The sequence below is a fragment of the Homo sapiens genome, chromosome 3 (assembly GCF_000001405.40).
Source record: "Homo sapiens chromosome 3, GRCh38.p14 Primary Assembly".
Lineage (NCBI taxonomy): Eukaryota > Metazoa > Chordata > Mammalia > Primates > Hominidae > Homo > Homo sapiens.
The window spans coordinates 133,705,575-133,728,958 of NC_000003.12; the positions used below are offsets into that span (position 1 = coordinate 133,705,575).

A 23,384-nucleotide genomic window follows, 5' to 3' on the forward strand; every position below is an offset into this window, starting at 1 on the left:
GAAGAGGGTAAAATGGGCTTGCAGAACCTTAACCCACTGATACCCAATGATACCTTGCTCATATTATTATTGACTATTGAGATTGAGAAGCTCCTGACTTTGGATGGAGTAATGTGAGGGTTTAATGTCATGTACCTTGATTGTTTTTCTTTTTCTTTTTAGAGCAGTTTAGGTCTAAGTGTGTGAATTTACCCATGGAAGGTGAGTTAGAATCAGTAATACTGGCTCAAAGGTAAAGGCCCATTGTTGGGGAGAGGAAAGCTTAAAAACAAATAAAAATGACTGGAGGTGGAAAAAAATTCACAGTTAATTGTTAAGATGCAAACCTATCCTGGGGTGTAATAATACTATTTGCAGGGCACTTTATAGTTGGCAAAGGACTCCTGTTTGCACTATTCCTGTTCCCTCTTCTCAGCAACCCTGGAGTATGTGGGCATTGTTGTCTCATGTTATGGAGCTGGAGTCTGAGACTCAGGGACTGAGTGACTTGCCCAGGGCCACACTGCCAGGAGGCGGCTGCACCTGGGTTTCAGAAGAGGAGGAATGGCTGGAAACCCCAGGCCCTTCCTGGCACCACACTGCGCCTGAGCACATGCTGCCTGCCCATCTCTGTGTGAAGGTCCACACTGGGGCCCATTCCTGGCATTTCTGGACTAAGTAGAGACCTCACGAGAGAAGGAGATTCATAGATGCTGATAATGAAGATGAGGAGGAAAATAAAATCCACCTTTCAGCTTTTAGCCAGCTGGAGCTTGATGGCAGGGGAGTTGATCAGTCTTTAGAGTAGAAGACCACCACTAGGAGGCAAGTTCCTCCGTTTTGTGCCTCCAGATAAGCAGAGAGGGTCTGTCTCTAGTACCTACTCCTGGAAAATGGATAGAACAGTGGTTCTCAGGTGTAGTCTCTGGACCAGCAGCATCAGCATCCCCTAGGAGTTTGTTGGGAACAAAAATTCTGGGGCTCCATCCTAGATCTGAGTCAGAAGCTCTGAGGCTGGGGCTAGCAATCTATGTTTTAACAAATTTAATGCGCATTATGGTTTGAAAACTGCTGTGATAGAGAATTCCCTGAGGTGAAAACCAAGTGCATACTTGGGTTTAGAGTTTCTTCTGAGGCAGGAGGGCTGGGGAAGTTGAGGGATTTAGAGCATCACAGCACAAGGAGCTGTGGTCTCTGTCCCCTGCTGAGCACTGGGTCATAGGACCCTGCACAGCCCACCCTGCACAAAGGCCACTGGAGTGCAAAGTTGAGGCATCATTTCCCTGCTCACCTGCAGCAGCTCCCCTTCCTGTGTGGCAGGACCCCAGCCCGGGGATATGCTGTACCTCATCCCTCTCTGCTGTCATGTCTAAGAAGCCTTCTTTAAATTGTGTCTTCATCCCTAATCCTGAAGTCCAGCAAACAATCTTCTATCTGCTATGTATTCTATTCTGATCATTTATAGTCAGAAACAACCCTAACTGCTTCAAGAGTAGTTGACATATTCAGAAACTGCAATGATACACAAATGTAGATCAGCAAGCATACTTAGAGGATGGTTTAGTCACCAGCAGAGTGACTGACTGTGATGGAGAAGGTGCCATCTGAGTAGAGAGGGGGAGAGTTAACCTCAGAGTCACACACACACACACACACACACACACACACACGCATGGAAAGATGGATGACAATAATGAATGCCATAGGTACAGAAATAGTGGCATTGAAGGAAGGCACTATGACAGCATTTGGCTACCAGACTGGTGTCATGGACCGCAGTGTGGTAGGCAAGGGCTTGCCATGGCCTCAGGAGAACCTGCTTCACTGGGAGGGGCCTCCAGTCCTGCTTCTGCACTACTGCTGGAAAGCCACCTCCCTAACCTGCTCTTCCCATTCCTGATTTGCCTGTGCTCATATCTGCACCTCTGATCCCCATCAGTCACTCCAGGAGGGGTTCCACTGCCACCATTTAACTGAAGAAAAATTTAGGCTCCTAGATGATAAGGACGTGTCTGAGGTCACCTAAGAAGGACAAGACGGACCTTCCATCTGCCATGTTGACTCCCAACTTCTCCAAGTTTGAATTTGTAGAGACCTGATCTACAACACAGAGAAAAGGTGTGTACGTGGGGAAAGCAGGGAGTGGTGAGCCGCATTATCGTCTAATTCTAAAAATTTATGATTCAAATCTTATGATTCTTTTCAGTTTGCAGTTCAACCTAACTCAACAAGCACAATTCAGTTATATAGTATTGGCACTGGAATAAATGAAATATTCATGATATTCTCATTAGAATCAGGAGCAAGGCAAGAATGCCCACTCCCACCAAAGACATTCAGCATTATATTGGAAGTAAATGCAGTAAGATAAGAAAAAGAGTTGGGTTTTTAAATATTGGGAAAGAGAAAAGAGATTAAATTGTCATTATTAGAAAATATTATTGTAAACCTAGAAAATCAGAGACTTAACATTAAAAAATAACTCATTAAAGCTTTCTTTTGAACTTATATTCAACAGAAAAACTTAAACAAGTGCATACTCATAATTACAAACATTTATAGAAATAAATGGGTTTTAGTAGGGGAAAATGGGCCACAATAAAAATACCTACTAGTATAGATATGATACATCCATATATAATAAGATATAACTTAGATTCAGCCAAATAAAAGAATGATGTAGCCATATCTATCACTACTGAATCAAAGAAGTGTCCACAATATATTATTGAGGAGGAATAAAGCAACTCACAGAAAATAATGCAGCAAGACTCCGTCTCAAAAAAAGAGAAAATAATACATAGCAAGATTCTATTGAAAAAGTACAGTGTATGTAAATATATGTGGGTGCATGTATGTAGACATAGCTAGGGAGCAGTAGTGTTAGTCTGTTTGGCTCAGTTCCTAATAATGGTAGCTATTGGGAGGGTCCTCTACTAGAGTAACATGAGGGGTTCAAGATATTCCCTCTCCCCAGGGAGAGTGACAGGCAGGGGCTAGCAGCAGTAGCTCTAAAATATATTTTCAGAGTGCCCTGGAGGTCTGATAATAGTATCTTGGCACCCCTTCCACTAATATATATATGTAAATATGTGTGTGCAAACATATATATATAATTTATAATGTGTGTATTTATAAATATGTATACTTATATGTATATATGTATAAATACATAGTATATAAGTAAATACTATATGTATATATTTAAATGTATAGGTTTTTTTTTTTTTCCGAAAGAGCAACTTGCTGCCAGCAAAGTCTTCTCTGAGATGGTCTTGCTGTCTGCTTGAAAGGACAGACAGAGTACATCACTGAGGGGTCAGTAAAGAAATGAAGCACTATTTTAAGCAGGAAGGGATTTAATACAGGGAATTAAATGTTAACAAAAAGTGGACACTAGGTTCCTGGAATGACTCCCACCCATAGTGAAAGAGAGCTGACTCCCTAGGAGACCTACTACCTGCAAGACCTCTACTAGTACAGTGATTTCAAGACACATCCTGTAGCTGTGACCAAGGGATAGGAAGCCAGAATTGATAGTGGCTGCTGCTGCTGCATTTGCTGTAATAGCTTCTAATCCTCTAGGATGGAGAAGGGATACTAGAGATCTGGACAGAAAAACCTAACATCTCCAAGAATTTATTTCCTAGCAGAAAAGAGGTGAGGGGGAAGGCAAAGACCTCTATGTGACTTCCACCTTCCAAATTTCACACATCCTTTTACACTAAGAACACAGCTGCAAGGAAACATTGGAAGTGTAGTTTCCATATTTCCAGCCAGAAGGGGGACAGGATGGAAATGGAGAATACCAGCTCCAGCATAGCCACCATATGGAGATGGCATTTAATGGCCCGGTGCAGGAGGGCTGGCCAGATCTCACTGGATCGTACATTCTTCCTCCTCCTTCCCCTTCTCTCCCTGAAAAAGAAGAAATTGCATCTTGGTATTTCAATTTCTAGGCTATTATGTCATGGCTGTGGTTAAGAAATCAGATGCTGATGTCACCTGGAACTCTCTTTGAGGCAAGAAGTCCTGCCACACTGCAGTTGGCACTTCTGCAAGCTGGAACATCCCCATGGGCTTAATATACAATCAAACCGGGTCCTGTAAATGTGGTGAGTATGTTCTGGGAGGTGTTGTGGCAGTTCATTCCCTGTGCCTGTGCCTGGGTAAAGGAGAAATTCAGTTTGATGAATGGCAGAAAATGCCATAAATGGGTGGTGAGCTTAAGAGCTTGACAGAAATTGTGGGCGAGCCTCACATCTCCTTGAGCAGGTCCTCCTCCTTCTCATCCTTTTGCTTCTGAGGGAAATACCTTGGCCCAAAGGGCAGATCTCAGGGAAATAGCTCTATTTTTGATGTCTCACAAATGGCTCAGGGAACAAGCCTGGGTTCGCAAAGCAAGACCAGCCTGGATGCGTTGGTGAGCGCGAGTGTGTTGTTTTCACATATAAACCGAAATGGCTGCCTTCTTAATTGGAAACCTTCCACCAGTAAGTCCTGGAGTGCTGTTTTTCATGTTCATCCTCATCTCTCCCATCCAAGTACTAGCAAGGCCTGACCCTGCTTAGCTTCCAAGATCAGACAAGATCAGGCGCATTCAGGGTGGTATGGCCGTAGACCATCCTCATCTCTCTTAGATGCATTCATCATTTCAGCTATGCTCATGCCACTACCTAAGAGGCTCCTGCTCCTCTGCTTTCCCCAACTCTCTGAAAATCCCAGCCCTGACTGAACCCTATTACCTGCTCTCTTTTTTACCTGAGCAGCTGAACGTGGCTGGAGAGCGTCACAGCGCGGCAGAGCAGTTTGTGTCACTGGAATGCTTCAGGCACTGTCGTTGGTGTGCCCCCAACATTTACAAGCGCCCCCACCACTTCTCTGCTCCACATGCCACATTTCCCGGTGATTCTCCTAATGTCCTAATTGTCCACACACCTCAAACCCACACCATCTACCACCTTTCTTAGCAGACCATTTCACCTGCACCTGCAGGAGACAAAGAAACCATCAGAGAAGTTTCTCTTAACATCCCCCTGCCAAAACTGCGGGCCTCCTGGGGGCTGCACCTCCCCACCTCCTCCCTCCGCAGCCAATCCCTCTACCTGCACTTGGGTGCGGGTCACTCCCATGTTCCCTTCCATGGTCTCAACCCTCAGTTATTACTTCTCCTTCTGGTGTGTCCAACAATTTCTCTCAACATGTAAACACACCGAATGTTTTCCATCTTTAAAATTGGCCCCCCCACAACATTCTCCTGCAGCTCCTGCCTTCCTTCCCTCCTCCTCTTTAAGGCCAGAGTGATCAAAGTGTTGTTGGAACCACTCCCCTTCCACTCACTCTTCAACTCCCTGCCGCCTGGCTCCTCTGCATCACTCCTCAGGAAGGATTCTGGTCAAGCCACCAGTGGCCTCCATACTGCTCAGTTGGAACGATGTGCTTCTGTTGCTTCCCCCATGACCTCTCAGCAGCATTTCCTCATTTCGCCCTAAAATAATATCTCCTGGCTTTTATGAAAACACACTGGTTTGTTTTTCTTCTATTCTCACAAGGTCCCCATTTCCCAATCTAGTTAAGAAACGTTTGCGTTGCTAAATGAAACTCTTTTTCCCAATCTCAACGGAATCCCCAAGCACTCACATCCATGCCCACAGCCTCAATTGCCATCCAAAGGGGTGTTACACAAACAAAGCTAGGCACATGATAAGCACTAGGTAAATGCTTTTTATCTATCTCTGTGTTGATAATTGTCAACACAGATCTCTCAACACAGATCCCCAACACAGATCTCTCCTTAGCCTCCAGACATGTATGTATTTAACTGCCTATTTGACATCTCTAGATGGATATCTCAAAAGCACACTAAGCTCATCCTGTTCAAAACTGAATGCACCATCCCTGCCGAGCCTGGTCCTTTTCCAGAACTACCTGGTGTGGTGGAGGATCCTACAGTCCATCCTCTTGTGCCCACTGGAAGCCTCATCCTCCGCATAGCCATCTATCTCCAGGGGTGCCAATTTCTCCTCCTTCCACTCATCTCCCTCCCCTTTGTGCTCCTCTAGCCCCAGCTGCCCTCATTTCCCCTGAACTTCTCCAGGAGCCTGCCACCTGAACTCCACATCCGCTCTGGTTTCCATCCACCCTGTTGCCAGGCCAATCTTTGCAAAGTGCAGATATGACCATATCCAGCTTACTGCCCCTGGCCCAGCATTGTCTAAAACCCTTCACAGACTTCTCATCTCTCTAACGATAAAGAACAAAACTAATGACAGTAAAAGGGTCTGGACCCTGCCCCCCACTGCACTCACCGTCATTTTCTTGGTGGTTTAGTCCTGAAGGCCTCCATGAGGCTCTCTGTGCCGTGCCTCCACCCCACCCCAACACAGGCCTGTGCAGATGCTGGTCCCCTGTCTGGAGGGCTCTTCCCCTCCACTCTTCACTTGGGTAACTCCTACTCACTCTTCATGTCTCGGCTTAAACCTTCTCCCTGACCCCTAGGGCTGCAAGGGGCTCTTTTATTGTAGCTTCATGGAACCCTATAATTTTTTCCCAGAGCAAAGAGGGAAACATGAATTTACTGGTGTGGTTACTTGAGTTCTGACTATCGCCCTACAGGCTGCAAGTTTTCAAGAGGGCAGAGCCTGTGTCTGATTTCCTCATGGTGGTGCCCTGGAGCCCAGCACAGGGCTTGGCAGCTGTGCCTCTCTAGACTCTTCCTGGACTTGAAGCTGTGATGGCACACCTTGTGAAAAAGGGCAATGGCAGCAGAGCCCAGAAAACATGTGCTCCGGGTTCTGCGAGCCAGGACTTCTCTTTTGTCCCCTCACTGTTAAACTCTGTGTCCATCTTTCGATGCCACTGCCCTGTGCTGGGATGGAGTAGACCCCTGTGAGCTCACAGACCCTTGATCCAACTTGAGTCAGTTCCCCTTTACTTAGCTCCAGCTGGAACCTTTTTTTTTTAATTCCATAAAGTCTTGCTTTTAATAATATGTTACAAATAACTGAATGTGTCTTTATCAGGCAATTTTGGGGACAGAATCTGAGGCTTTCTTGCTAACACAGGCAGGGAGGGCTGATCCTGACCTCTGGTTGTCCTTTCTCGCAGATGATTTCTTCAGTCGCAGTTGTGCCCCTGGGTCTAATCCGGATTCCCCTCTCTGTGCTCTGTGTGGTGGCAGGTGCAATCCTGCCCACATATGGGCTTACAACAGCCAGGAGAGATACTACGGCTCCAGTGGGGCTTTCAGGCAAGTAATGTCTGTGCACCACCTTTATCTTTGCACCAAGCCAGTACATTTCTTGTCCTGTCACTTCTTCCATCATCCCAGCATCTGGCTGCTGCATTTGGAAGGAGCCAGAATCTAGGAAACAGAACTACTGCAAACTTTGAATGGCTCCAATGACTCAAGTCCTGCTCTTCTCTAGGGCACTCTCCTGCAGACCCAGATGATTTAGGGCACCTTAGGGCACCTAGGGAGAAGCAAGAATGATGGCGGCAGAGTCACAACTCTAGTTCTACTTTTGCCACTTTCTTCTGTGTGACTGTGGACAAGTCAAGAATCCATCAGAGCCTTGGTTTAAAATCACAGGGGGGACACCAGACACCTCACTTCTTACACTTGGCTGGTAAGTATATTTTAAAAATAGATATTCCTGGGCTCCTCCATCCATTCAAGAAATATTTATTGAGCACCTAATAGGTATTGTTCTAACTAGAGGTGTTACAGCAGTTAAGCTGTTACCAACCATGGGTTGTTGGGCTCTCAATGCAATAGAAATTGTCATAAGGCCAAGATAGTTTTCCCAGACAAGGCTTTGTTGGAGCTTATGCCCAGGAATATGGGAGGCAACACAAGAGAGAGAGAATTTTCTGGCTGGCTCCCCAGAGGGTGTTGAAAAGGAAGTTGTAAAGGGGCCGCGGTGAGAAAGGAGTGATGTCTAGGAATGTAGAGGCAGGGAACTTTTAGCACCTCCACAGTTTGATGACATGCTTCTTCATGCATCGCTTGTCTTATAAGCATGTTACATCTCCACCCCTGGGTGTGATTTTTAGTATTATAATGAAGCTAAAGTTAAGGATCAGTCATTCTCCTGGCCTTGCGTGCATGTGGGAGATAGTAAGATTTATGGTGGGAGCTGCTGCTTTTAGCTTCCTCAGGGTCCGGCAGTCAGCAGGTATGGCTCCTTGAGCAAGGTTTATGTTGCAAGGTCTGGAGGGGCTGGTTGGGGTCCCTGCCACCCATGGGGCCTCCCCTCTACCAGTTTGCAGTGAGGTCCTTGGTGGGGTATGGGGGGTACCAAGTCCTGTCCCTCTTCTGTCTCAAAGCCACACATAATACCTGTCCCTCCCCTGCTCCCAGTCTTCTGGGGAAAGTAGGACAACAGCACATAAATAAAGGGCAGGATACTTTCCAACTGTAAGTGCTACTGAGGAACCAAGGGAGGTGATGCATCAGCAACCAGTTTTAGAAATTTCAGAAAAGGTGGTCAGGGCAGGCCTCAGCAGGCAGAGGGGTCATGTGGGAATCAGGCCTGAGAAAACCTGGAGGAAGAGCAACGTAGGATGAAGGAACAGCAAGCACAAAGGCATGGGGGCAGGGCAAGTCATGCTGTGTGGAGGCCAGAGAAGAAGGTCTGTGGATGAGGGCACAGAGAGAGAGGCACTGGCTGTCTCGGAGCCCTGTTGGCCTGGCTAAAGACGTAGATTTAACTCTAGGTATTGTGGGCAGTGCTGGACCTTTGAGGAAGCAGGGCAGTGCTGTATGAATGAGTTATGTGAACAATGTATGAGGCTCTAGAAAGTTCTCTTTTATTCATAGACACCAGGGTATTCCACTACCAGACTACTTTGTCCTGCCCTCTCCAAAGTTTTCTCTCTTTCATAAGCCATGCATAAATTACATATTTTCACAGATCTACAACAACATATACTATTATTACATTAAATCTGGATGAAATTGCTTAATTTTTCTTTACATCAGAAGGTGCATTGGTGTTAGGCTTGATGGTCTGTCTAGAACCACAACTTCTTCCAAAATGAACATACACATAAAAAGCAGTCTTAGCTTCAGACCTCTCATTCTCTCCATCTCCTACCTGTCTTTTCACTTCCTTGAGTTGTTTTTTTGTTTGTTTGTTTGTTTTTTTGATGGAGTCTTGCTCTGTCACCTAGGCTGGAGTGTGGTGGTGCGATCTCGGCTCAATGAAACCTCCGCCTCCTGGGTTGAAGCAGTTTTCCTGCCTCAGCCTCCTGAGTAGCTGGGATTACAGGTGCCCACCACCACACCCAGCTAATTTTTGTATTTTGAGTAGAGACGGGGTTTCACCATGTTGGCCAGGCTGGTCTTGAACTCCTGACCTCAGATGATCCACCCGCCTCGGCCTCCCAAAGTGCTGGGATTACAGGTGTGAGCCACCACACCCAGCCCTTTAAGTTTCTTGACTCCTCTAGCCATTCACTCCTGGCTGACCTGTGATCTATCAATCCCGCACCTTTCCCCGTGGTCTTTTTTTCCATCCTTTCTGAGCATACATTTCACAATCAACTGTGCCTGCACTTCCAGCCTGGCTGGTTTCCCTTTAAGTGATGAGGACCTTGTTAAATGAGCCATGTATCTCTAGTCCTCCCACTACCCCATTTCTCCTAGAAGACAATTCCATACTTTCTCCTCTCCTTAAGCCTCCAACACTTCTTCCCCCACCTTTCATACCTTTGTTTCCTATTTCTCCTAAGAAAAGAAATCGAAAGATAAATTCTACAACACCCTGCTGCCATATCTACCCACATGCCAGCATCTGTGGCCCTAGTCACTGCCTTCCCTCCTCCTACTGGGGTGAACTGGCTGTCTCCTCGCTAAGTCCTGTCCTGCACCGGTTCAGGATTGTTGCCCTGGCAGTTCTCCCTTTTTCTGTGGCAGCATCAAATCTTCTTCTCTACTAGATCATTTCCATCAGCATACAAAACATGCTGCTATGTTTTTCCATCTTAAACACAAATAACTAAGTAAAACCTCTCCACCTCACTTTCCTCTCCCATTTCTCCTCTTCTTTTTACAACAAAATTCCTTGAAAGAGTTAAATATCTTTGCTAACTCATATTTCTCCCCTTTAAATCTCCCCAGGACCCAGTTTAAGAATCTGTTCAGGCCCCAAACTGCCAACATGGAGTTGGTTTTATTATTGTTTTTCAATGATCTACAGAAAATATACCTCTTTATTGTCAGAGTATGGGCAGACTACTCCCACCACTCCAACCCCCTTGGTACACCACCGACCACTGTGGAGATGAAACTATACCAGTGATCTCTGTTGCTAAATCGAAAGGCCAGTTCTTGGTCCTTGTGTTGTTGCAGGATTTTTAAGGAATCAGCTTACACACTCTTTAATTTCTTTTAATTCCTGTTCCAGTGTTAATTGATCTACCAGCATCACTGGCAGCCCCCATCACTTCCTCCTCTTGGATTTCTTCCCTGGCTTCTGGAATACCACACTCTCTTGGATTCTCCCTTCCCCCTCCTGACACTGCACCTCAGTCTCTTTTGCTGGTTCTGTCCACTTCCCCAGCCTCTACATGCTGGCATGACTCAGGGCTCTGTACTTGGAGTTCTTCTCTCTGCTGCCCATTCTCTTGGTGGGTTTATCTCTGTATGCTGACAATTCCCAAATTTAACATTCTAGTTCTGACATTTTCCTGAAACCCCAGACCTGTAGATCCAGCTGCCTACTGGCTATCTCCACTTGGATTTCTAACCACCATCTCAAACTTAAATGTCCAAAACTGAGCTCCTGAAACTCCATACACTCCCACCCAAGTGCTGCATCCTGTAGCCCACCTCATCTCAGTTAAGGGCAACTCTATTTTTCATTTTGGAAAAAATGTCAATACCTTGCTGCTTTCTGTGCCTGCCCTTGTTCTCTCTCACCCCATATCTCGTCCATCACCAAATTATATTGGTTGTACCTTCTCAAGGTATCCAGAATCGATCTCTCTGCCCATCTCCACTGATACCATTCTGACCTAAACCACCATCGTCTCTCCCCAGATTTTTATCATAGCCCCTTGACAGGTCTCCATGCATCTGTCTTGTCCCACTCTCCTCCACAACACATGAGCCAAAGTGATTCTGTTAAACTTAAAGCATTACATTAATACTTCTCTGCTCAAAGCCCACCAGTGATTTCCCATATCACTCGGAGTAAAAGTTAAGGTGCCTCTTTGATCTGTAAGGTTCTTTGTAATCTAAGAGGCCTTTGCAACCTCATCTACTTCTTTCCCTGTGCACTCTCTGCTCCAGTCAGCTTGGCATCTCGGCTGTTCCTTGAAGACCTCAGGCACACTCCTTCCCCGGGGACTTTGCACTTGGTCCTACCCCCATCTGGAGTGCTTGTCTTCCTCAGATCATCATGGCTAGTTTCCTCATTTTATTTAGGATTTCTCAGGGCAGACTTTCCTGGCCACTCTGTAATTTTCAACCTATAAACACACATGCTTGCACATACCCTTGCCAATACTTCATATCCCCCTTTCTTGCTTTATGTTTTCTTTAGCACTTATTACTCTCTAGCTTGCTATATATTTTCTCTACTTACCTTGCTTCGTGTCTCTTTTCTTCTGTAGAATGAACAAGGACCCCGTTGGTTGTAAGTGAGAAAACCTCATGTGAAGCAGCTTACACCAAGGGCACTGTCTTGACAGGTGCTCTGGGTGCTCCCTCCTTGAAAGGGCTGATACCTGAGCCTAGGAGGCCAACGAAAATTCTTTAAGGGTAGGGTTGCCACATACAATTCAGGATGTCCAGTTAAATTAGAATTCCAAATAGACAACACATGATTTTTTAATATAAGGGGATACACTCTGCTTCTCCCGTCTGCTTGTCTTTCTCTGCACATCTGCCTCATTGTTCTTCTCCCCTGCAGGGTGGGTTTTGGTTTCTCAGGCTACCTGGAGGGAAATGTTTGCAACCAGCAGTCCCAATGTTGTTACAGTTCATCAGTTATAAAGGAGCAGTCAAACAAAGACCATAGTGTATTCGTCCCAATGCTCAGGAAGGGGGATTGACACAACAGTCTGGGCGAAAGCTTCCTGTTCACACAACTCATGCAGTGAAGTCACATTGTAAGGTGACAGCTGCCTCCACTGTGACCACATGGATTGAGGCGGCTGGGGTGGGGGGAGTTGGTTCTCAAAAAAGTAACAATGCTTGAGGGACCAAACAAGGACTGAATACACAAAGGGAATTTTGTTTTCCTGGATACAAAAATCACATTATAATGATGTAATAATGGTTTAAGGATGGTTTAAGTGCAAGAATGACAAATAAGTGGAAAAGAATTGAGGTCCAAGAGAGATTCATGGATATATTGCCATTTGGTCACAAATGGTGACATTTCAAATCACTGGGGAAAGAATGAACTTGAGAGACCCAATAAAATATATGCCAAGAACTGGCCCCTGTGCTCCCTGATGGGAGCACGTTTAATCATGAGTGAGTCCTGGACGCTGGATGGGCAAGGGTCCAGGAGAGTGGTGGGAAGGGAGAGTGGTGGGAAGGGGTGCTGATGGTGAGTGAGGATGATTTCTTTTAGGTATTTGTATGAGTGGGAAGAGAAGCCCATTGCTGGAGAATAGGGTGGGATAAATGCAGGGTTTGTTGTTTTTGTAAAATGAAAAGACATAAATGTGATGAAAAGGGCCCAGTGAACAGGGAAAGGTTCTAATTGAGTAAGAGAAAGAGTATAGCTGTAGCATAAGGTTGCCAAGAGTGAGGGCAGGGTCCCTGGTGAGGACATGTTTGCTGGGAGGGAGACCTTCCCTCCTCTGTACCTGGACGGCAGAAGAGGGCACTGGAGATGCAGGCTGGCAGATCTGTTGGAGGGATGCTGAGAAAAAGCCACATAATGAATTCTGTGTTTTCTCTGGGAAGCAGGAGCACAGGTCAGTGTATGAATGTTGTGGGGTAGGGGGATGTGGAGAGGCAGAAGTTTGTGGAAAGTGGGAAAATGTTTGCTCTACAGAGCAGGGAGGCAGCTGTCTAAAGCAGTGGTCCTCATGCTTGAGCATGGATCAGAATCTCCTGGAGGTCTTGTTAAGGCACAGGTCCCTGGGCCCCACCTCCAGAGCCCCAGAATTTGCATTTCCAACAAGTTTCCAGCCAACACTGATGTTGGAGGTTCCTCACCTCCAACTTTGAGAACCATTAGTCTAGAGTAGAGAAAGGAAAGCAGGAACGCTGAGGTGAAGTTAAGGATCAGGAAGGTTTCTTTTTGTTTACCTACCTTGCCCTGAAATAGAGACACATGTAAGACAAGGGATCATGCTCATTCAGGACTGGGATTCTATGAAGGGGCATGAAGGAAAGACATAGGGTGGTGGAGCTTAAGAAATGTGAATGGGAGTGATTGATCCTAGCTAGGTATAGAGGGACCTGAAGATAGGAGAGAAAACTGGAGAGGTGCTCCTGACAATTGCTAGCCATTTCCACCTAAGTGTCATAACACTGATTTTGGATGTGCTCAGCATTCTTAAAAAGAATGTACCTTGAACCCAGAGAAACATTTTTCATGGGATTAGGGGAACAAATGTATAGTGATATACATTCACTTCATTAATCCTGAGTAGACATATAGGAGTGTGATAAAATTCCTGCAAAATCACCTTTCATGCTGATTTTAATCTCCGATATTGTGAGTTTGGATCCAATCAGAGAGTCACCCCTTGCACATCCCTGTTAACGGGAGAACACAAGCACCTCCTCTGGAGAGACTAATTAGTATTTAAAATAAGGACCCAAACAATGGTTGTCCATAGTAGAAATAAGTAAGCAGTTTTCTTTGTCCATGACATTTTCCCCTATAATTCCCAGGGATTGTGTGGGCATTGCAGGTGTTGGTGTGGAAGTGTTGGGCATGTGGGGAAGGGGTATGAGGCTCAAAGTGTGTTCCTTGTGGTGTCTCCCTCCCACTCCTGTAGTATAGTAAAAGTCAGGTACTGTGATACCCCCAGCTTTGTTCTTTATGCTCAGGATTGTTTTGGCTATTTGGGGTCTTTAGTGATTCCATATAAATTTTACAATTTTTTTTTCTATTTCCATGAAGAATGCTGTTGTTATTTGAGAGGGATTACATTAATTCTACAGATTGCTTTGTGTAGTATGGCCATTTTTACAATGTTAATTTTTCCAATCCATGAACATGGGATGTCTTCCCGTTTATTTGTGTCCTCAATTTTCTTCATCACAGTTTTATAGTTTTTAGTGTAGAGATCCTTCACCCTCTTGATTAAGTTTATTCCTAGTTATCTTTTTTGGTAGCTATTGTAAATGGAATTATTTTCTTGATTTCTTTTTTAGTTTATTATTAGCGTATGAAAATGATACTGATTTTTGTATGCTGATTTCATATTCTGCAACTTTACTAAATAGTTTATTAGCTCTAACTTTTTTTGATGGAGTTTTTAGGGTTGTCTTTATATAGGATTATGACTCCTCCAATGATAATTTGACTTCCCTCTTTCCAAATCGGATGCCTTTTCCCTATTTTTTCTCCTTCCTAACTGTTGTTACTAGTATTTCCAATATTAAGATGAATAGAAGTGGTGAAAGTGAGCATCCTTGATCTCTTCCTGATCTTAAAGGGAAAGGTTTCAGCTTTTCCTCCTTCAGTATGATGTTAGCTATGGGTCTGTAATAGGTGGTCTTTATTGTGTTGAGGTACATACTTTCTGTACTTAATTTGTTCAGTTTTTATCATGAAGTGAGGTTGAATTTTATCAATGCCTTTTTTGTGTCTATTCAAATAATCATATGGTTTTTGTCTTTTATTCTATTAATGTGGTGTATCCCATTTGTTGATTTGTCTATGTTAAATCATCCTTGCATTTCTGGGGTGAATCCCACTTGATTATAGTGAATGATCTTTTTAATGTGCCATTTGATTGCATTTACTAGTATCTTCTTGAAATGTTTGCATCTATATTCATTAAAGGTGTTGATCTGTAGTTTTCTTTTATTGTTGTGTCCTTGTCTGGTTTTGGAATCAGGATAATTCTGGCCATATAAAATGAGTTTTAAAATATTCTCTCCTCTTCAATTTTCTGAAATAGTTGGAGGATAATTAATGTTAGTTCTTCTTTAAATGTTTAGTGGAATTTAGCAGTGAAGCCATTGGGTCCTGGGCTTTTCTTTGATGGAAGATTTTTTATTACTGATTCAATTTTCTCACTTATTACTGGTCTGTGCCTATTTTCTATTTCTTCTTAATTTAATCTTGGTAGTTTTTAATGTGTCCAGTAATTTACCTATTTCTTCTATGTTATCAAATTTGTTGGCATATAATTATTCATAACAGTCTCTTATGATCTTTCATGTTTCTGTGGTATCAGTTATAATGTCTCCTCTTTCATTTCTGATTTTATTCATTTGAATCTTCTCTTGTTTTCTTTGTTTAGCTAAAGGTTTCTCAATTTGGTTTACCTTTTCAAAAAACCAAATCTTTGTTTTGTTAATTTTTTTGAACTGTTTCTTTAATCTCTATTTCATTTATTTCTGCTCAGAGTTTTATTATTTTCTTCCTTCTACCAATTTCAGGTTTAGTTTGTTCTTGTTTTTCTAGTTCTTTGAGGTGCACAGTTAGGTTGTTTATTAGAAATCTTCTTTCTTGATGTAGATGTTTATTGCTAAAAATTTCCCTCTTAGAACTGCTTTTGCTGTGTCTCATAGGTTTTAGTACGATGTGCTTCCATTCTCATTTGTCTTAAGGAATTTTTAAATTTTCCTTTTTAATTTCTTCATTGACTCACCAGTGGTTTAGAAGCATGATGTTTAATATATATGTAAAGATTCTGAAGTTTTTCTTACTGTTGATTTTTAGTTGTATACCATTGTGGTTAGAAAAAATACTTTGTATGATGTCTGTCTTCTTAAATTTGTTAAGACTTGTTTTGTGGCCTAATGTGATATATCCTAGAGAATGTCCCATGTGCAGTTGAGAAGAATGCATACTTTGCAGCTGTTGGATGGAATGTTCTGTAAATATCTTTTAGGCCAATTTGATCTATGATGCAGTTAAAGTCTTTTTTCTTTTTGCTTATTTTTTGTCTAAATAATCTGTTCATTGTCAGAAGTTGAGTGTTGAAGTCCTCTATTATCACTGTATTACAGTTTATCTCTCCATTTAGGTGTAATAATATTTGCTTTATATATTTGGGTGCTCCACTATTGGATGCATATCTACTTACAATTGTTATATCTTCTTGTTGAATTGATCCCTTCATCATTATCATCATCATATAATGACCTTCTTTGTCTCTTTTTATAGGTTGTTTTTGTTGTTGTTGCTGTTGTTCGAGACAGGGTCTGGCTGTGTCACCCATGCTGGAGTGCAGTGATACGAACTTGGCTCACTGCAACCTCTGCCTCCTGGGGTCAAGCCATCCTCCCACCTTAGTTTCCTGAGTAGCTGAGACTACAGATGCTTGCCACCAAGCTCGGCTAATTTTTTTGTATTTTTTGTGGAGACTGGGTTTCACCATGTTGCACAGGCTGATCTCAAACTCCTGAGCTCAAGCAATCTCCCTGCCTGGGCCTCCCAAAGTGCTGGGATTACAGGCATAAGCCACCATGCCTGGCCTCTTTTTACAATTTTTGACTTAATGTCTATTTTATCTGATGTAATATGGCTACTTCTGCTTGCTTCTGGTTTCTATTTGCATGGAATATCTTTTTCCATCTTTTCACTTTCAGTCTATGTTTGTCTTTAATGGTGAGGTGAGTCTCTTGTAGAGAGCACATAGTTGAGTCTTATTTACTTAGCCACCCTCTATCTTTTAATTTGAGAATGTAACCCATTTACATTCAAAGGCTGTTACTGATAGATAAGAACTTACTCCTGACATTTTTGTTAATTGTTTTCTGGTAGTTTGGTAGATTCTTTGTTTCTTTATTCCTCTTTTTTTGTTTACTTCTGTGGTTTGGTGGTTTTCTGTGGTTTCTCTTTCTTATTTTTGTATCTGCTGTGATTTATTTATCTGTGGTTACCATGGGGCTAATGTCAGTCTTGTAAGTATAATAGACAATTTTAAGCTGATAGCAACTTAACTTTGGCTGCATAAAAGTACGCATTTTCCTTCCCACAGTTAATATTTTTGTTGCCCTAATTTACTTCTTTATCTATGATGTGTTCCTCAGCCACTAATTGTAGTTGTTTTTTAACCATTTAACTTTAAATCTTCATACTAGAAGACTGAGAGTTTTACATAGCACCATTATATCATGGAGTATTCTTAGTTTGATTTATTTAATTACTTCTACTGGTAAGTTTTATATTTTAATGTGTTTTTAATGACAGTAATTATCATCCTTGTGTTTCTTGTTGTAGCACTCCTTTAAACATTTCTTGTAAGGCTGGTCTTAGGGGTGATGAATTCTCTTAACTTTTGCTTGTCTGTGAAGGACTTTATTTCTTCTTCATTTCTGAGGGATAACTTTGTGGGACACAATATTCTTGGTTGACAGTTTTTTTTTCCTCTCAGCACTTTGAATATGTCATGCCATTCTCTCCTGGTCTGCAAAGTTTCTGCTGAGAAATATGCTGATAGTCTGATAGGAATTCCCTTAGATGTGACTTGTCACTCTTCTCTTGTGGCTTTTAGAATTTTCACTATCTTTGACTTTTGACAGTTTGATTATAATGTTCCTCAGAGAGAATCTTTTTGGGTTGAATCTAGATGGAGACCTTTGGGTCTCCTGAATCTGGATGTTCATATCTCTTACTATATTTGAGAAGTTTTTAGCTATTATTTCATTAAATTGGTTTTCTGTGACTTTCTTAGTCTCTTCTCATCTGATATGTCTATAATGTGAATATCTGTTCACTGAATGGTGTCCCATAAGTACCATAGGGTTTCTTCATTCCTTTTTATTCTTGTTTTTTTTTTTTTCTCTCTGACTGGGTTACTTTAAAATAACTATCTTCAAGTTCAGAACTTCTTTCTTTTGCTTGATTTAGTCTGTTGATGAAGCACTTAATTGTATTATTTTATTTTATTCATTGAATTTTTTCAGTTCACAATATCTGTTTGGTTCTTTTATTATTATTATTATTATTATTATTATTATTATTATACTTTAAGTTTTAGGGTACATGTGCACAATCTGCAGGTTAGTTACATATGTATACATGTGCCATGCTGGTGTGCTGCACCCATTAACTCGTCATTTAGCATTAGGTATATCTCCTAATGCTATCCCTCCCCCTTCCCCACCCCACCACAGTCCCCAGAGTATGATGTTCCCCTTCCTGTGTCCATGTGTTCTCATTGTTCAATTCCCATCTATGAGTGAGAACATGTGCTGTTTGGTTTTCTGTCCTTGCGATAGTTTACTGAGAATGATGATTTCCAATTTCATCCATGTCCCTACAAAGGACATGAACTCATCATTTTTTATGGCTGCATAGTATTCCATGGTGTATATGTGCCACATTTTCTTAATCCAGTCAATCATTATTGGACATTTGGGTTGGTTCCAAGTCTTTGCTATTGTAAATAGTGCCGCAATAAATATACGTGTGCATGTGTCTTTATAGCAGCATGATTTATAGTCCTTTGGGTATATACCCAGTAACAGGATGGCTGGGTCAAATGGTATTTCTAGTTCTAGATCCCTGAGGAATTGCCACACTGACTTCCACAATGGTTGAACTAGTTTACAGTTCCACCAACAGTGTAAAAGTGTTCCTATTTCTCCACATCCTCTCCAGCACCTGTTGTTTCCTGACTTTTTAATGATCACCATTCTAACTGGTGTAAGATGGTATCTCATTGTGGTTTTGATTTGCATTTCTCTGATGGCCAGTGATGATGAGCATTTTTTCATGTGCCTTTTGGCTGCATAAATGTCTTCTTATGAGAAGTGTCTGTTCATATCCTTTGCCCACATTTGATGGGGTTGTTTGGTTTTTTCTTGTAAATTTGTTTGAGTTCATTGTAGATTCTGGATATTAGCCCTTTGTCAGATGAGTCGGTTGCGAAAATTTTCTCCCATTTTGTAGGCTGCCTGTTCACTCTGATGGTAGTTTCTTTTGCTGTGCAGAAGCTCTTTAGTTTAATTAGATCCCATTTGTCAATGTTGGCTTTTGTTGCCATTGCTTTTGGTGTTTTAGACATGAAGTCCTTGCCCATGCCTATGTCCTGAATGGTATTGCCTAGGTTTTCTTCTAGGGATTTTATGGTTTTAGGTCTAACATGTAAGTCTTTAATCCATCTTGAATTAATCTTTGTATAAGGTGTAAGGAAGGGATCCAGTTTCAGCTTTCTACATATGGCTAGCCAGTTTTCCCAGCACCATTTATTAGATAGGGAATCCTTTCCCCATTGCTTGTTTTTCTCAGGTTTGTCAAAGATCAGATAGTTGTAGATATGTGGCGTTATTTCTGAGGGCTCTGTTCTGTTCCATTGATCTATATCTCTGTTTTGGTACCAGTACCATGCTGTTTTGGTTACTGTAGCCTTGTAATATAGTTTGAAATCAGGTAGCGTGATGCCTCCAGCTTTGTTCTTTTGGCTTAGGATTGACTTGGCGATGGGGGCTCTTTTTTGGTTCCATATGAACTTTAAAGTAGTTTTTTCCAATTCTGTGAAGAAAGTCATTGGTAGCTTGATGGGGATGGCATTGAATCTATAAATTACCTTGGGCAGTATGGCCATTTTCACGATATTGATTCTTCCTAACCATGAGCATGGAAGGTTCTTCCATTTGTTTGTATCCTTTTTTATTTCATTGAGTAGTGGTTTGTAGTTCTCCTTGGGGAGGTCCTTCACGTCCCTTGTAAGTTGGATTCCTAGGTATTTTATTCTCTTTGAAGCAATTGTGAATGGGAGTTCACTCATGATTTGGCTCTCTGTTTGTCTGTTATTGGTGTATAAGAATGCTTGTGATTTTTGTACATTGATTTTACATCCTGAGACTTTGCTGAAGTTGCTTATCAGCTTAAGGAGATTTTGGGCTGAGACAATGGGGTTTTCTAGATATACAATCATGTCATCTGCAAACAGGGACAATTTGACTTCCTCTTTTCCTAATTGAATACCCTTTATTTCCTTCTCCTGCCTAATTGCCCTGGCCAGAACTTCCAACACTATGTTGAATAGGAGTGGTGAGAGAGGGCATCCCTGTCTTGTGCCAGTTTTCAAAAGGAATGCTTCCAGTTTTTGCCCATTCAGTATGATATTGGCTGTGGGTTTGTCATAGATAGCTCTTATTATTTTGAGATACGTCCCATCAATACCTAATTTATTGAGAGTTTTTAGCATGAAGGGTTGTTGAATTTTGTCAAATGCCTTTTCTACATCTATTGAGATAATCATGTGGTTTTTGTCTTTGGTTCTGTTTATATGCTGGATTACATTTATCAATTTGCGTATATTGAACCAGCCTTGCATCCCAGGGATGAAGCCCACTTGATCATGGTGGATAAGCTTTTGGACGTGCTGCTGGATTCGGTTTGCCAGTATTTTATTGAGGATTTTTGCATCAATGTTCATTAAGGATATTGGTCTAAAATTCTCTTTTTTGATTGTGTCTCTGCCCGGCTTTGATATCAGGATGATGCTGGCCTCATAAAATGAGTAAGGGAGGATTCCCTCTTTTTCTATTGATTGGAATAGTCTCAGAAGGAATGGTACCAGTTCCTCCTTGTACCTCTGGTAGAATTCGGCTGTGAATCCATCTGGTCCTGGACTTTTTTTTGTTGGTAAGCTATTGATTATTGCCACAATTTCAGAGCCTGTTATTGGTCTATTCAGAGATTCAACTTCTTCCTGGTTTAGTCTTGGGAGAGTGTATGTGTTGAGGAATTTATCCATTTCTTCTAGATTTTCTAGTTTATTTGCGTAGAGGTGTTTGTAGTATTCTCTGATGGTAGTTTGTATTTCTGTGGGATTGGTGGTGATATCCCCTTTATCATTTTATATTGCATCTATTTGATTCTTCTCTCTTTTCTTCTTTATTAGTCTTGCTAGTGGTCTATCAATTTTGTTGATCCTTTCAAAAAACCAGCTCCTGGATTCATTAATTTTTTGAAGGGTTTTTTGTGTCTCTATTTCCTTCAGTTCTGCTCTGATTTTAGTTATTTCTTGCCTTCTGCTAGCTTTTGAATGTGTTTGCTCTTGCATTTCTAGTTGTTTTAATTGTGATGTTAGGGTGTCAATTTTGGATCTTTCCTGCTTTCTCTTGTGGGCATTTAGTGCTATAAATTTCCCTCTACACACTGCTCTGAATGCGTCCCAGAGATTCTGGTATGTTGTGTCTTTGTTCTCGTTGGTTTCAAAGAACATCTTTATTTCTGCCTTCATTTTGTTATGTACCCAGTAGTCATTCAGGAGCAGGTTGTTCAGTTTCCATGTAGTTGAGCGGTTTTGAGTGATTTTCTTAATCCTGAGTTCTAGTTTGATTGCGCTGTGGTCTGAGAGACAGTTTGTTATAATTTCTGTTCTTTTACATTTGCTGAGAACTTTACTTGCAACTATGTGGTCAATTTTGGAATAGGTGTGGTGTGGTGCTGAAAAAAATGTATATTCTGTTGATTTGGGGTGGAGAGTTCTGTAGATGTCTATTAGATCAGCTTGGTGTAGAGCTGAGTTCAATTCCTGGGTATCCTTGTTAACTTTCTGTCTCATTGATCTATCTAATGTTGATAGTGGGGTGTTAAAGTCTCCCATTATTATTGTGTGGGAGTCTAAGTTTCTTTGTAGGTCACTCAGGACTTGCTTTATGAATCTGGGTGCTCCTGTATTGGGTGCATATATATTTAGGATAGTTAGCTCTTCTTGTTGAATTGATCCCTTTACCATTATGTAATGGCCTTCTTTGTCTCTTTTGATCTTTGTTGGTTTAAAGTCTGTTTTATCAGAGACTAAGATTGCAACCCCTGCCTTTTTTTGTTTTCCATTTGCTTGGTAGATCTTCCTCCATCCTTTTATTTTGAGCCTATGTGTGTCTCTGCACGTGAGATGGGTTTTCTGAATACAGCACACTGATGGGTCTTGACTCTTTATCCAATTTGCCAGTCTGTGTCTTTTAATTGGAGCATTTAGTCCATTTACATTTAAAGTTAATATTGTTATGTGTGAATTTGATCCTGTCATTATGATGTTAGCTGGTTATTTTGCTCGTTAGTTGATGCAGTTTCTTCCTAGTCTCGATGGTCTTTACATTTTGGCATGATTTTGCAGCAGCTGGTACCGGTTGTTCCTTTCCATGTTTAGTGCTTCCTTCAGGAACTCTTTTAGGGCAGGCCTGTGGTGACAAAATCTCTCAGCATTTGCTTGTCTGTAAAGTATTTTATTTCTCCTTCACTTATGATGCTTAGTTTGGCTGGACATGAAATTCTGGATTGAAAATTCTTTTCTTTAAGAATGTTGAATATTGGCCCCCACTCTCTTCTGGCTGGCAGGGTTTCTGCTGAGAGATCAGCTGTTTGTCTGACGGGCTTCCCTTTGTGGGTAACCCAACCTTTCTCCCTGGCTATCCTTAACATTTTTCCTTCATTTCAACTTTGGTGAATCTGACAATTATGTGTCTTGGAGTTGTTCTTCTCGAGGAGTATCTTTGTGGCGTTCTCTGTATTTCCTGAATCTGAATGTTGGCCTGCCTTGCTAGATTGGGGAAGTTCTCCTGGATAATATCCTGCAGAGTGTTTTCCAACTTGGTTCCATTCTCCCCGTCACTTTCAGGTACACCAATCAGATGCAGATTTGGTCTGTTCACATAGTCCCATATTTCTTGGAGGCTTTGTTCGTTTCTTTTTATTCTTTTTTCTCTACACTTCCCTTCTCTCTTCATTTCATTCATTTCATCTTCCATCACTGATACCCTTTCTTCCAGTTCATTGCATCAGCTCCTGAGGCTTCTGCATTCTTCACGTAGTTCTTGAGCCTTGGCTTTCAGCTCCATCAGCTCCTTTAAGCACTTCTCTGTATTGGTTATTCTAGTTATACATTCGTCTAAATTTTTTTCAAAGTTTATAACTTCTTTGCCTTTGGTTTGAATTTCCTCCTGTAGCTTGGAGTAGTTTGATTGTCTGAAGCCTTCTTCTCTCAACTTGTCAAAGTCCTTTTCCATCCAGCTTTGTTCCGTTGCTGGTGAGGAACTGCATTCCTTTGGAGGAGGAGAGGCACTCTGCTTTTTAGAGTTTCCAGTTTTTCTGTTCTGTTTTTTCCCCATCTTTGTGGTTTTATCTACTTTTGGTCTTTGATGATGGTGATGTACAGATGGGTTTTTGGTGTGGATGGCCTTTCTGTTTGTTAGCTTTCCTTTTACCAGACAGGACCCTCAGCTGCAGGACTGTTTGAGTTTGCTAGAGGTCCACTCCAGACCCTGTTCGCCTGGGTATCAGCAGCGGTGGCTG

The 23,384-nt window shown here is 42.0% G+C and overlaps 1 protein-coding gene and 2 pseudogenes across 1 annotated transcript in view; 2 read left to right on the top strand and 1 right to left on the bottom strand.

Annotated features, from left to right (window-relative positions):
- Positions 1-4,108, top strand: part of INHCAP (inhibitor of carbonic anhydrase pseudogene) — an 8,805-nt pseudogene extending 4,697 nt beyond the window's left edge.
- TF (transferrin) overlaps positions 1-23,384 on the top strand; it is a 134,644-nt gene that overhangs the window by 43,577 nt on the left and 67,683 nt on the right. Inside the window, exons 4-7 of the mRNA NM_001354703.2 lie at positions 1,919-2,097; positions 3,939-4,094; positions 7,087-7,228; positions 7,407-7,607. The gene's annotated coding sequence lies outside the window, so the exon portion shown is untranslated. The remainder of the gene's footprint in view (positions 1-1,918; positions 2,098-3,938; positions 4,095-7,086; positions 7,229-7,406; positions 7,608-23,384) is intronic.
- Positions 4,502-4,593, bottom strand: RNA5SP140 (RNA, 5S ribosomal pseudogene 140; annotated as a pseudogene).